This window comes from Homo sapiens, chromosome 6, assembly GCF_000001405.40.
Source record: "Homo sapiens chromosome 6, GRCh38.p14 Primary Assembly".
Taxonomy (NCBI): domain Eukaryota; kingdom Metazoa; phylum Chordata; class Mammalia; order Primates; family Hominidae; genus Homo; species Homo sapiens.
In genome coordinates this window covers 34,888,384-34,903,083 of record NC_000006.12, presented here as the reverse complement: position 1 = coordinate 34,903,083, position 14,700 = coordinate 34,888,384, and the positions used below count along the sequence as shown (strand labels likewise).

The 14,700-nt window shown below is 42.9% G+C and overlaps 1 protein-coding gene across 10 annotated transcripts in view, besides 2 other annotated features; it reads right to left on the bottom strand.

Moving 5' to 3' along the window:
* ANKS1A (ankyrin repeat and sterile alpha motif domain containing 1A) overlaps positions 1-13,829 on the bottom strand; it is a 208,736-nt gene extending 194,907 nt beyond the window's left edge. For all 10 annotated transcript variants that reach the window (XM_011514431.4, XM_011514434.4, XM_011514432.4 and 7 more), the window contains exon 1: positions 13,485-13,829. In XM_011514431.4, the coding sequence (XP_011512733.1) occupies positions 13,485-13,681 (197 nt within the window). In that variant the 5' untranslated portion in view covers positions 13,682-13,829. The remainder of the gene's footprint in view (positions 1-13,484) is intronic.
* Positions 13,201-14,083: an enhancer, noted in NCBI's record as "H3K27ac-H3K4me1 hESC enhancer chr6:34856778-34857660 (GRCh37/hg19 assembly coordinates)". NCBI's record gives its function as "activates a minimal SCP1, AML or CMV promoter by ChIP-STARR-seq in primed H9 embryonic stem cells {active_cell/tissue: H9 hESC(primed)}" and the evidence as "EXISTENCE:reporter gene assay evidence [ECO:0000049][PMID:30033119]".
* Positions 13,655-13,704: a silencer, noted in NCBI's record as "silent region_17083". NCBI's record gives its function as "represses an Ori minimal core promoter by ATAC-STARR-seq in GM12878 lymphoblastoid cells {active_cell/tissue: GM12878}" and the evidence as "EXISTENCE:reporter gene assay evidence [ECO:0000049][PMID:35858748]".

Sequence of the window (14,700 nt, the reverse complement as noted above, 5' to 3'; positions counted from 1 at the left end):
TGGTATAATGCATTCCTCTCAGCAAACACAGATATTTTTAAGTGACTGTGAAATTTCACCCAAAAGAATCAGGTCTTCATAAATATCTGCCAATTGAATGAGAAGACGCTAGGGTACCTGGATTGCTATTTTCATCAGTTTTCTCTGTAAATGAACTATAAATTTTACAAAAGAACATATGTTAAAGAGAAAGGTAACCGGAAATGATGGTAACTGAAGACAATAGCAAGTCTAACAGATCATAATGGATAAGGAAAAGGCATCTTTTTTTTTTTTTTTTTGAGACGGAGTCTTGCTTTGTCGCCCGGGGTGGAGTACAATGGCGCGATTTTGGCTCACTGCAACCTCCGCCTTCCGGGTTCAAGCGATTCTCCTGCCTCAGCCTCCCGAGTAGCTGGGACTACAGCCACCGCACCTGGCCTGGAAAAAGACATCTTTTAAAAAGACAGCTCTGTCAATTTGGTCGACAAAACATATCTAGTAAAAGTACTGGACCTGATTTTTTATACACTCCTTCTTTTAAAAAGAAAAACTTGGGCCAGGCGCGGTAGCTCACGCCTGTAAACCCAGCACTTTGGGAGGCCGAGGCGGGTGGATCATCTGAGGTCAGGAGTCCCAGACCAGCCTGACCAACACGGAGAAATCCCGTCTCTACTAAAAATACAAAACTAGCTGGGCATGGTGGCGCATGCCTGTAATCCCAGCTACTTGGGAGGCTGAGGCAGGAGAATTGTTTGAACCCGGCAGGTGGAGGTTGCAGGGAGCCGAGATCACGCATTGCACTCCAGCATGGGCAGCAAGAGCGAAACGCCGTCTCAAAAAGAAAAAAAAAAGAAACAAAAAAGAAAAACTTAAACCTTAAAATGAAGCACTAAGCCCTGGATCATCTACTTGAAAAGTCTTTTGAAACTCTGCTCTGGGTCTGCTAAAGATGGCAAGAGAGACTGCTGATGAGTGACTAGCAAGAAAACTATTCTCCAGCTGAGTCTTAAACACACAATTATGGAGATAGCAATAGATTAAAAAGTAACAAATGTGGAATCTCTGCCAATTTCAATATCTAAAGTATTTTCATTTGTAGGTAAAAAGTAATAGGCCTATTCTATTACTGTTAGGTATATAGGACCCATAGGTATTTTCAGAGCTACTTAGCTAGAATACTACCTTCTCCTTATACTTTCCACCTTATACTTCCACAGACGTCTTTTTGGTAGCCATGATTCTGCATAAAATAGGACCCTTAAAGGCCTCACAAACAGAACACCTCAGTCCTGTCTGGGTGTGATGGCTCACGCCTGTAATCCCAACACTTTGGGAGGCCAAGGTGGGCAGATCTCTTAAGCCCAGGAATTCAAGACCAGCCTGGGAAACATGGCAAGACTCCGTCTCTACAAAAAATACAAAAATTAACCGGGCATGGTGTCATGAGCCTGTAGTCCCAGCTACTCAGTAGACTCAGGTGGGAAGATTGCTTGAGCCCAGGAGGCTGAAGTTACAATGAGCTGTGATTGCATCACTGTGCTCCAGCCTGAGTGACAGGGTGAGACCTCATCTCAGAAAAGAAACAACAAAAAAAACCCCACCTCAGCCCAGTTCTAAGCCAGTCATTTAACCACTAGAAAATCATCAGTAAAATGGGCACTAATACCTGTATTGAAGGATTGTGAAGATTAAAGTACCAAGGATTATGGAAAGTAACATTTCCCATCCCATAATCCTAGGCTTCAAGACAGCATCAACCATCATTTGAACCAGCCAGATAATACTGTCTGAAAAACATTTTATGGGCCAACTAATTATTTGAGAATGCAAATTTTGGTTGTTAATCACTAATGAGGGAGCGAATTGTTTAAAAAAAAAAAAAACAGAGTTGGAAATAACTTCAAATACACAGGCTTTTGGTTCTTGCCAATTGTTTAGATTCACTTCCCCTGTACAAACTTTGGCCCTGGTAGTGCATCTGGCAGTTTATGTAGCTTATGGGTCCAAAACTAATTTTTATCATTTTGAACTGGTTGCGGGGGGCACAGGGACCACTTAAATTTTCTCACAGGTAAAATTCATGAACACGTGCACCTACATGAGATGAGAATTTTCTAGAAGTCCGAAAAAGCAATGTGGGAGCTATAGGGAAGTCCCCCACATTCTCTAAACTAATATATTATTTGGCATAGACGTAAAGGCATTCTCTTTATCTAACTTTCCTGTGTTCCAGGGAATTTGCCAATTTTTTTTTTTAATGAGCCTACCTCACTGTATGTAGTCAAAGTCTTCCCAAAGGACTTTGTGTTACATTCTTGGGTAAAAGGAAGAAGTCCCAGTTGCATAATAACCAAGAGCAAAGACTCTGGGGCCTGTCTGCCTGGGTTCAAAACTAAGCTCTAACTTTTACTAGCTTACTGCACCTTGGCAAGTTACTTCATCTCTCTGTGTTTCAGTTTCCTCACCAGTAAAATGGCAATACTACTAGTGTATTCCTCAAACAGTTGTTATGGCCAGGTGTGGTGGCTCATGCTTGTAATTCTAACACTCTGGGAGGCTGAAGCAGGAGGATCGCTTGAGCTCCAGAACTTGAGACCAACCTGGGCAACATAGTGAGACCCCATCTCTATTTTTGTTATTAAAAAAAAAACAGAGAGAGTTGTTATGAGGACAAAATGAGTTAATACTTGTAAAGTGCTTAGAAGGGTATAGCATGAAGTGGTATAAAAGCAACTATTAAACTTAAATAAATCCCTAATTAATCTTTTCAGCAAAATTTTACCTAAGCATATAGTAAGTGGTCGCTTAAGTCTCATCCAAAGAGACTGATTCTCCAAGTGGCCAAATGCAGTGCTTTATAAGCAAAAGTTTTGGAATCACAAAGATGCCAGGCTCTGCACTCCCCTGTGTGGCCCTGGGCTAGTCACTTTAACCTCTCTCTTAACTTTTGCTTCTTCATCTGTAAAATGGAAATAACAATAATTACCTTGCAGGCATGTTGTGTAGGTAAACTGAGCAAATACATGTATGTAAAGCCCTTGGCACAGACAGAGCAAAGTATTAAGTGCTCAAGAAGTGAAACCATCCCACCCATCCCAAATACACACATACACACTCACCCACAATACTGTCAGTAGCAACATTTCTGAGCTATTGAGTTACTGACTTCAAATACTACAGTATGGGCTGGACTTTGCATTGAAGTTTGATCATGGCTGCAGGGCAACCTGAAAAAGCAAGAATCAGGCGGCTGGCCCCATTGAGGACAAAAGCCAATGCACAGACTCCACCAGGCTGGATCAGAGGAAGAGTGGTGAGCATGATGTGGATAGTTATGAGCAAAGCCAAGACTGGGGCTCCTCCCCAGGTACAGCAAAGAGTTAAAGTTCTAAAAACCACATCAGAAAGTCTAAGAACCTTTCAGACACTCAGGTAAACAGCTCTGAACTGATTTGTTTTGTAATCTTTTCTGGCCATCAGTCTTTTTGTAAATAGGTCTCAACTATAATTTAAAAGAAAAAATAAATTTGCGTCCAGACTGGGCAACATAGCAAGACCTCATCTCTACTTTACAAAATAACAGCTATTTTTTTTGTTTTTTAATTACTTTTTTTTTTAATAGAAACTGGGTCTCACTATGTTGCCCAGGCTGCTCTCAAACTCCTAGGCTCAAGTGATCCTCTGGCCTCAGCCTCCCAAAGTGCTGGGATTATAGGTATTAGCCACCATGCTGGGCCATAAAGCTGTTTTTATTTTATTCTGCTTGGAGCATATTGCTCCATGCATTTGTATTATTAATGGCCCTCTTCTAAACATTTGGTCTATGAAAAAGAACCAGTAAAGCCTTAAGTTAACCATTAAAAAGTCCTGGGCTTGCACAAAGGTTACTTTCTGAATATAAGTAGTATTTAGCAACCATAAATCAGTATATTACTTCCCAGTCAGAAGGACCCAGGAGATGTAAGGGGCCTCAGAATTACTATGAGTCCTCAAATTCAACAACATGTATGTTTCTTGTTGATTTTGAGGTGCAATTTGAATATTCAGCTGTTGATTTCTGCAATGGCTGAATGTTGAAACTACACCTACCATTCTATTGAATATATCAAATGTTATAAGCAGAATGTACACACAAACTTATCCACATGCATGTTCATCACAGAGCTGTTCTAATAGCAAAAAACGAAAAACAAACTCATGTTCCATGTCAGGAAAGGGGTTAAATTAATTACAATTCATATATACCACGGATATCACATCCATTTAAAATGAGGTTGAGGAGGACAGAAAATATAGGAAAGTGTTTTCACAATATAGTTCGTGAAAACATGAGACAAAGTATATACAAAATAATGTCATTTCTGTTAAAAAAAAAAGTTTGCACAGAAAAAAACAAGATTGTACACCAAAATTTCAAGTTAATTTCTGTAGGTGGTAAAATTATAACTGATTTTATTTTCTTCTTAGTGCATTTCTTTGTCTTGCAATTTTTCTACCATAAAGGCAGAGGTTTACAGTCCCTTATCAACAATTCAGAAATCCAAAAAGCTCTGAAAATATATTTTCATAAGTTAGCAGCAGTCATTTAGCTGCAAAACCTGACCTACGCTGATATGAAGCGGCTTCATATTTATCCCATTTAGTCAATATTTACAGGTTTTGCTGTAGAAATACAATGTTTCCAGGGTGCTGCCACAGTCCCACTAGGGACTCAATATACAATATTGAGTCAGCACCCTGAAAACATATCTGGCCCCAAGGTTTCAAACAAAGGATTGTGGACCTGGATTGCTTTGTAACTTTGCCACCATTGCCAATTTTCAGGCTTTTTAAAACTATGGGACTCTTCATAGTTTAAAAGGTTGGGAGCTTCTGCTGTGAATTATTATAAATGTTAAAATGGCAACATCAATAAAAGATATGTCCTTAACAGGGTCCTCACTCTGATTCATCAAGGGTGGCAAGCACCTGGCTCCCATTAGATGATTCTAGCAGCTGAGGGTTACCAAACCCTTGCCATGTGCCAGGCATTATATGCCTTACATCCTTTAGCTCATTTAATGCTGCTTTAGAAGATAGGCACCATCCCAGGCCCATTATATATATGAAGACACAGAGGCGCAGAAAAGTGACTTAATTTGCCTAAGTCACAAGGCAGAGTTGGGTCAGAACCTGATCCTTAGCCACCATAGTATGTCCTCACCACTTAAGTAGGCCAGGAGGCAGTTCTGCTTCCTGGATCAGTGGTAATAATATCACAAACAGATACAACTATCTTGTTTCAAAGCAGAGACAACTGACTTGTTTTAAAAACTCTTTTTTGATTTGTAAACTAAACAAACTTGATCTACAAATTACTGAGAAAGGATAAATATGAAGACATACCATATAATTTCCAGTATTACTACCATTAACTCTAACCACACCAAAGTTATGTGAAGATGTTCTATGAATGTAACATATTATACGATATAATTTTCTCTACCACAGAAAATCTCCCAATAATCCTTTGGAAATCAGTGTGGGAAATATTTTCTGAGAGCTCTCCAAAAAAGAGACCAAGTTCCTACCCACAGGAGAGCCTGATTTTTCTAAGAACAAACTCTCCACTGTCTACTTCTGGGGTTTCCTTAGTGTTTCTGGGCTAAAAACCCAGTAATTTACTTTCCCTATGAAAGACTAGGGCAGAAATAGCCTGGACTTCCTTTTGCAAACCAGAATTCACAGCTGTTTGGGGTGAACAATCCAATGTGGGAAAAAGAACCTCCTGAAGGGATTTTTCTGGCCAAGAATGTAACTTTCACTGGGACCATAACCTCCTATGACCCGTGAACATGCTGAAGCTACTAGATACAAGTCAAATTCTTCAGATCACAAGCTTGTTTCATTGTTTCCTGTCTCTAATTTTTGCAACTAAGAAAGTAAAAACTGAACTTCAATTGGAGGATGCAGGAAAAAGGGAGACCACTGACTTTAAATCTTAAACTTTGTAGTAAATTTTCTTTTCACTGCAGCCTCAACCTTCCACCTTCTGGGCTCTAGCAATTCTCCCACCTTTGCGTCTCTGCCTCCTGAGTAGCTGGGGCCACAGGTGCATGCCATCACACTCAGCTAATTTTTTATTTTTATTTTTTTTGAGATGGAGTTTCGCTCTTTTTTGCCCAGGCTGGAGTGCAATGGCACGATCTTGGCTCACTACAACCTCTGCCTCCCAGGTTCAAGCAATTCTCCTACCTCAGCCTCCCAAGTAGCTGGGATTACAGATGCAGGCCACCACACCCAGCTGATTTTGTATTTTTAATAGAGATGGGGTTTTACCATATTGGCCAGGCTGGTCTCTAACTCCTGACCTCAGGTGATCCACCCGCCTCAGCCTCCCAAAGTGCCGGGATTACAGGCGTGAGCCACTGCGCCTGGCCTAGTTTTTTTATTTTTTGTAGAAACGAGGTCTTGCCATGTTGCCCAGGCTGGGTAAATTATCTTTAATTCTAAGTAAATGCCTTACTCAGTTTAAGATTAGGCACCTTCTAGATTTTTACATATAAAGTAACTACCACAAAAGTCATTTCCAAGCATGTTACCTTTTTTTGTTTCCTTTTGTTTTTTAACATGGGAACCACACTCTGCTTTAGAGAAAGCAAAAATGTAAGTACAGCAATTCCAAAATGCAGGAACAGGGCTGCCCTCCCAACAAAATCACACTTAAAGGGAGTATTTTAAGACATTCTTGGCTGGGCGTGGGGGCTCACACCTGTAGTAATTCCAGCACTTTGGGAGGCCGAGGCAGGCAGATCACTTGAAGTCAGGAGTTCGAGACTAGCCTGGCCAACATAGTGAAACCCCTGTCTCTACTAAAATACAAATATTCGCCAGGTGCAGTGGTGCATGCCTGTAATCACAGCTACTCAGGAGGCTGAGGCACAAGAATTACTTGAACCTGAGAGGCAGAGGTTGCAGTGAGCTGAGATTGCACCACTGTACTCCAGTCTGGATGAAGGAGTGAGACACTGTCTCTGAAAAAAAAAAGAAAAAAAAAAAAGGCCAGGCACGGTGGCTAACGCCTGTAATCCTAGCACTTCCGGAGGCTGAGGGTAGACTGCCTGAGCTCAGGAGTTCGAGACCAGCCTGGGCAACACAGTGAAATCCCGTCCCTACTAAAATACGTGCGCCTGTAATCCCAGCTACTCGGGAGGCTGAGACAGGAGAATCGCTTGAACCCGGGAGGTGGAGGCTGCAATGAGTCGAGATCGTGCCATCGCACTCCAGCCTGGGCGAGAGAGAGAGACACTGTCTCAGAAAAAAAAAAAAAAAAAAAAAAAAAGAAAGACATTCTTGAAAAACTATTTTTAATTAATTAAGATAGTTTAGTGGAAGACCCAGAAAACTGCTATGCTAGTGGATAGTTGCATTTTATCTTGTTTTTGCATTCTCTTAGAAGAGCAGGAACTTAGATCAGACAAATTCAAATCCACAAGATCTGTTTCCAGGCCCTTCCATTCTACAATCCTTACATGGTCAGTGTTGCCCTCTTCCTTAAGATGTTAAAATCATTTTGCTCAAAATAGGCACTTTCAAAAGAAATCTGGCACAGTAGTGGGCAAAAGTAAAAAGGTCAGCATGAGAAAAGGCTGTCACGCCATTATAATCTCCAAGGTTCAGATCCATTCTGGGAATGAATAAAGGACCATTTCAATAGAATGGTTATGCTAATCACTGTTTAAAAAATAATAACACTAACAAGAGGAAGAAGTCTAGCCTGGCATGGTGGCATGTGCCTGCAGTCCCAATAGCTCAGGAGGATGAGGCAGGAGGATCAATTGAGCCCAGGAGTTTAAGGTCAGCCTGGACAACATTAGCAAGACTCCTGTCTCTTAAATTTTTTTTTTTAATTAAAAAAAAAAAAAAACCAAAGTCCTTAAATAAATATTAGGAAGCTTTCTTTACAACAATGAATTACTTGCCATATTTTCTGACATTTGGGAGAATCTGTTATTATCCTCCAAATGAGGTCCATTTTTCAAAATTTTTCATGCTTCATTCCTTATTTCAGAACATTTTCACATCTTGGGAAATTCATATCTGTTTTGGAATAGTTTTCTTTTTCTTTTATTCCCCCAATGAAATGGCAGCATAAAAATTAGTTTAAAGCCACATTCATTGCTACTATCTATAAATTTTCAGATTCTCCAGCAAGTCTCCTTGGCTTCCTCTTTTCTTATTCACCCTTCTCATGCTTGAGAAATTAAGCATAAAATATTCCTAAACCATAACATAATCTCCTCAACTGTGATCTTCGGTTTAGTTTCTCTGTGCTTCTGAACCCTAAGAAGTACATTTCACTTTACTTTTCCATTCATATACATCAGTATTTAGTTCATAACTCAATTTACAGTTTGAAGCTATTGTGGCTGGTTTTCTTTTTTCTTCTTTTTTTGGGGGGTGGTGGTGTGAGGACGTGGTCTAGCTCTGTCACCCAGGCTGAAATGCAGTGGAACAATCTTGGCTCACTGCAGCCTCAACCTCCCAGACTCAAGCAATCCTCCCACATCAGCCTCCCGAGTAGCTGGGACTACAGGTGCACACCATCACGCCTGGCTAATGTTTGTATTTTTCGTAGAGATGGGATTTCAGCATGTTGCCCAGGCTGGTTTCAAACTCCTGGGCTCAAGTGATCCAGCTGCCTCAGCCTCCCAAAGTGTTGGTATTACAGAGGTGAGCCACTGTGCCTGGCCATGATTGGTTTTAACATTTCCTTTTCTCAGATCTTTTTGGCCTTTTAGTTGATAGAATTTACTTTTAACCAAATCTTACAATATTCTTATACAGGAGTTTCTTTCTTGGAAATCAGTATTTCACTATAACTCTAAACATAGCAAACTGTCTTGTTACATGAGAATCTGAGTGCCCGCTACGTGCCCAGAACTAAAAAATACTGTAAGTTAAGAAGTTTGATAGAATGCCTATCCCAAGCTCCCAAGGTATAGACCGAAGGCATGCATCCATTAAACAATCAGAAAATGAGTTAGTATTATATAAAGTATAATCCATGCAATCCAGAGCCTCTGTAAGCCTAGACATTCTGGATAACTGTGCTTTCTAGATAATCTATTGCTTATCCTTTTAAGTAAAAAAATTATATTTAAACCATTTTGGATAGAAAACTATATTTTTTTTCTTCTTTCACTAACAAGCTATATTGAACATAATTTAATCTTTATTTGATGGCTAACAGTCATAATAAACATAAATCATAGCACAAAGATACAGTAAACTGATGCTTGGGGCTTACATAGGTATATAGGGCTATATACACCTATGTTAATAGCTTCAAACAGCCGGGAGGTAGGATAAATTATGCTAAATTTGTGTGCTTTCTCTGTCTCCTTTTTGTTGGCCTGTTACACAGACGTATCATACTACTATAAACTCTGTAAGGGAACAGAACATGTATGAAGAGAGGGGCTAATTCTGACAGACCACGTACAATGTCCCAGGTCTCAGACATATTTTGCAGTGCATCTAGCAATCACTTGGCCTGGCACAAAGTATATCATGGGTAAACATTGGGTATATGAATGATTCCTCTCCCTTATTTACTCTTTCTAGTCTGCCATGCTTGGAAAACAGATCCCCAAGCATGAAAAAACACCATTTAAAATGTGTCAGGCAGGGCACTGTGGCTCACACCTATAATCCCAGCACTTTGGGAGGCTGAGGCAGGAAGATCGTTTGAGCCCAGGAGTTTGAGACTAGCCTGGGCAACATAGTGGGACACGATCTCTACAAAAATAAAAATAAATAATGTGTCTGGCATGGTACTTTGCACAGAACAGGTGCAACACAGCAAAACCGTATGTGCTGAACTGAGGATGACTAAGACTGAGGACTTAGAATATGCCAGGAATTATGGTAAGTCCCGTACACACATTATCTAAGATGATACCTATAAGGCAGATAGTATTATCCCCATTTTACAGATGCAGAAATTGAGTATCAAAGTGGTTAACTTGAATAATGTCAAGCAGCTAGTCAGTGGTGGCAGTGGAATGTGAATCCAGGAAGTCTGACACAAAAACAAGTGGTCTTAATGCTATAACATGCTTAATGCTAAGAAAAAGTGGACAGTATAATGCTATACTGTTCCTGAATAAATATCCAGTAAATAAGGAAGGCTAGAAGAACACAAAGTTTGTAACAACATGTTTTTCTAGTAGAAGTCTTCTTTGCTGACTTTCTGATTCTCAGGTATAGCATCAATCGGTGAGGGTTGCTATATGTAAACATTATACTGACAGGCCAAAGCGATCAACTGTGAAAGCTAGGCAAGCAAAGTACACTACAGATGACGTGCTCCAAAGACATGGAAGCTTGAGAGATCTGTGTGTATTAGGGTCATCAGGAAGGGCTTTAAGAAGTTAAAACCTAAGCCCAAGCTGTGTAGAGGAAAAGGGATGGGTAAGAGAAGAGGGCATTTTTTAGCTTAAGAATAAACACAAAGCCTTTGTGGAATACGGGATGGGGGAACACAAACAGGTGAATACACAAACACATGTGTGGTCTGGAACAATTATTCCACTGCAACTGTAAGCTCCTATTTCTGCCAGCTTTACTTCAGGCAAGTTACAGTTGGCAGTACAAATAGGGGTAGAATATGGCCGCTAATACAAAGGCCAAATCTGAAGCTATGATTCCACAGCTCTCATTAAATAATCCAGGGTCTTTAGGGGAGAGAGGGTTGGGAGCAGAGGTAACCTACCCTTCACTATGTCCACATCTAAAAAGGGAGGACATACTGACCTAGGCATGGTCTCATTTGCTCAGAAATCTTTTACTAGCTTTAACCAGAGTCACCTCTAATTAGTGTAACTAGTGCCTCCAGATCCTCCCTGCCCCTAGGAGTCACAGGAATGAGAGGTTGGGAAGCTATTAGGCATTTACCCTCTCTACAAAAGACACAGAAGCAAGTCAAGGTGAGCCAGCTCTCTAACTCTAGGGAATAGAGAGTTAACACACTTTATGGCAGAGACAGGACACATCAGCAAGAGGCCCAAAGTAGAAGCATTGTGCTCAACAGGTTTCCTAGTCTTGCTTAACTATATTAACTATATGGCAGTTAAATCCTCAGCAGAATTTCAATAGTCTCCGAGTGAGCGCACTAAGAATAACTTGACCTGAGGCCGGGCAAGGTGGCTCACGCCTGTAATCCCAGCACTTTGGGAGGCCGAGGCCGGCGGATCATGAGGTCAAGAAATTGAGAACAGCCTGGCTAACATGGTGAAACTCCATCTCTACAAAAAATACAAAAATTAGCTGGGTGTGGTGGCGCTTGCCTGTAGTCCCAGCTACTTGGGAGGCTGAGGCAGGAGAATCGCTTGAACCCAGGAAGGCGAAGGTTGCAGTGAGCTGAGATACTGCCACTGCACTCCAGACTGTGGACAGAGCGAGACTCCGTCTCCAAAAAAAAAAAAGAATAATTTGACCTGTGTTTGAGGGTGGGAGATATGAGAAACTTCTCACTTTAGCAGGATATGCTGAGGGTTAAGATATCTCTGGAAAATCTCCAAATGCTATGTCATCAACTCATTAAAGACAGAGGCATCTCCAAACCTGTACAGTCTTGTCACCTCTCAGACATCAGAACTGCAGAGTGGCAAATCCAGGTAAGATTCAAAACCCAATTCATGCATTCACTGTACATTTATTAAACACCTGTAAGTTGTCAGGCACTGATCTAGGGACTGAGAATATAAACATGATATATGGAAGTATACCCATCCATTATTATTTACCTTTATTATGCCCAACCTCTCAAGGGTGCAGGCAGGAAGTTCTTCTCCTGTTGCCTAAGGAGCACCAAATAAGTCTCCATTCTCATTTCTGTGCCTCTGATCATGGGGTACCCACCTGAAACATGCCCATCATAACTCACCTACCCAAATCCTCACATCCTTCAAGGCCAGCTTAAGTCTCCCTCCTTTTGGAAGCCCTGACTTCCACTCCATCCCTAAATGATGTCTCTGTTCTCTGAGCTGCTAGCAATTACAGCGAGTAATACCATCCACCATCCATTTATTTAGAAATTTATTGTCCTGCAACTGATACTTTTATTTCTTCAACAAATCTTAAGTACCTACTTATATTGCTTTTTAAAATCTTCCTGTAAAGACCTGGGTTGGTACTCAGTGCTTAATATCTATTAATAACAATTTATTAGCGCCTTAGGCTTATATGGTCCAAGCTCACTCAAACTGAAGTTACATAAAGTAATGGGGAACAAAAGCTAACGAAGGCATTTCTAAATGAACTTCCACTTCTTAAAAACCTCAAAAGAACAAGGAAGGAAAAAGAAATCAGGCTATGAAAGCGCTGCTGAACTAACACATTTAACTCACACTAACAAAGCACCCCCAATCCCCCTTCGAAGCCACACAAAACTGATGTTTTTCCCTCGGTCCTTACAGCTCCAGATTGAAGCGTTTAACAACAGACCTTGGAAAAGTTTACAGCATCCTTCGGTTTCCTAAACAAGTCTCTCTGCCTTTATTTCTAGATGAATAAGCCCCTGGATGAATCCTGCATATGCCACTTAGACTAATCCAATGAGGTTCACTACAAGGAACTACAATTTGAACTTCAAGCACAAGAGAGGCTCAAAGACGAACATCTTGAAAATGATACATCCAGAGGCAATTTTAATAAAACAAAAGCGAGGGGCCAGGCGCGGTGGCTCACGCCTGTAATCCCAGCACTTTGGGAAGCCGAGGCGGGCGGTTCCTGAGGTCAAGAGTTCGAGACCAGCCTGGCCAATATGGTGAAACCCCGTCTCTACTAAAAATACAAAAATTAGCCTGGTGTCGTGGCGGGCGCCTGTAATCCCAGCTACTTGGGAGGCAGAGGCAGGAGAATCGCTTGAACCCGGGAGGCGGAGGTTGCAGTGAGCCGAGATCGCGCCACTGCACTCCAGCCTGGCTGACAGAACAAGTCTCCGTCTCGAGGGAAAAAAAAAAATAAAGCGAGGTCCTGTGTAGCCTGGTGGAAGGTTCCAAGTTCCTCAGAGAAGAAAATCAATAGAATTTCCTCCAGAGGAGCCTCGAGATTCTACAAGGCGTAGGAGTTTCTGCAGGAGGTGAGGGAGATCTCATATATATATATATAAGATATACATATTTGCTCTTAATTGGCTTTTGTGAGCTACGATAGCTGGCACCCTGTAGCGAGCGAGAGTGAACCCTGGCTGTGCCATGCGGCGGAGGCTGCCACCTGGGCACTCCCACCATTCTTCGCAGCCGGGTCAGAACGGGAGACCAGGCGAGCCCGGAGCAGCGTGGACTCGGACCTGCGCGCCCTCCGGTACCCTGGCCCGCGGGCCGCCTGCCTCGCCCCGGGCACGCCACAAGCCCACCCCGCCCGAGTCTCAGGACCCCCGATCTCTCTGGGGACCCAAGAGACGGGTGGGGGAGAAAGGGTCTGCAGGCAGCGGCCCGGCCCTGGCGCGTACCCACCTGAGCAGACTGGAGAGGGGGTGGCTGGAAGAGCCGAGGCCGCCGCCGCCGCCGCCGCTGCCGCCGCCGCCGCCCCCAGAGCCACCGCCGCCGCCGCCCCCAAAGCCTGAGGAGAGCCGCTTCCCGGACAGCAGCTTCTCCACCGCCGGGAGGTGCCCGGTGCGGGCCGCCTCCAGCAGCTCCTGCTCCTTCCCCATCCCCAGGGCCGCCACCCGCTGGACCCCCTCCCCGAGGCTGCAGCCGAGCCTGCTCGGGCTCCCAAACTTTCCGTCTCCGGGCAACGCACCCCCCAAACCGGCTGGGGACACCACCCCCTCCCTGCCTTTTCCCCACGAGCGCGTCACTTCCGGGATCCGGCGTCACGCGTCACCGCGCCCCCGCGCCCCGCCCCCTAGCTCACCTAGCTGGGCGGGGCTCCGCGGACCAGCGCAGGTGGACTTTGCTGTGCCGAGACACGCCTCTCGGGGCATGGGGACAGCGCCTTGTGGGCCCCCATTATGCAGGTGGAAAGGGACAAACAGGCCCACCTGTACGCGCCTCCCGAAGTGCGCTCCTTCCCCAAAGGTTTTGGGAGCTCCTGGGACAGGAAATACGGTAATTCGTCCAGGCAGCGTAGAAACAAAGAGATAAATGTAACGCGCACCTACATTTCCAAGTCCATTCTTTCAGCACGCATAAATTAAATATGTAATAGGTGCGGGGACCTAGTCATACCCAGGTGAATAAAACGCCCTCCCCCTCGTATCTCAATGAGGGAAGAGAAGAAAATTTTAAAACAGAAATATCCTCACCACTTCATCCTCCCAGTACGTGAACTAGTTCATTAAAGTGAAACGTTCAAAGGAGACACCTTCCTCTCTTTAGGCTTTCCTCTTAGTTTTAATGAGATTAACCAAACTGATAGAAAAGTGTCAGACTTGTAAAAACAAACCTCAATCTTCAGTACTGGCGAACTGAAAAAAATCATTTAATTGGGTAGAAACTATGTGTGTTTTGTTCCCTGGTACTAGCACTGTTTCTAAATCGAAGTAGGCAGTCAATAGTTGTGGATGAATAAATGAATTGGATAAATTCTGCTCGAGCTATATGACTTTTTGTTGTTAAGGTGCTTGCGGAATGGAGGGGAAATGCTAGCAATTCTATGTACACACAGGCCCGCGGTTTCGGGCCAGTTGAAATATACAAGGTTGAGTCCTTGCCTGAAAGTTTACCAGTC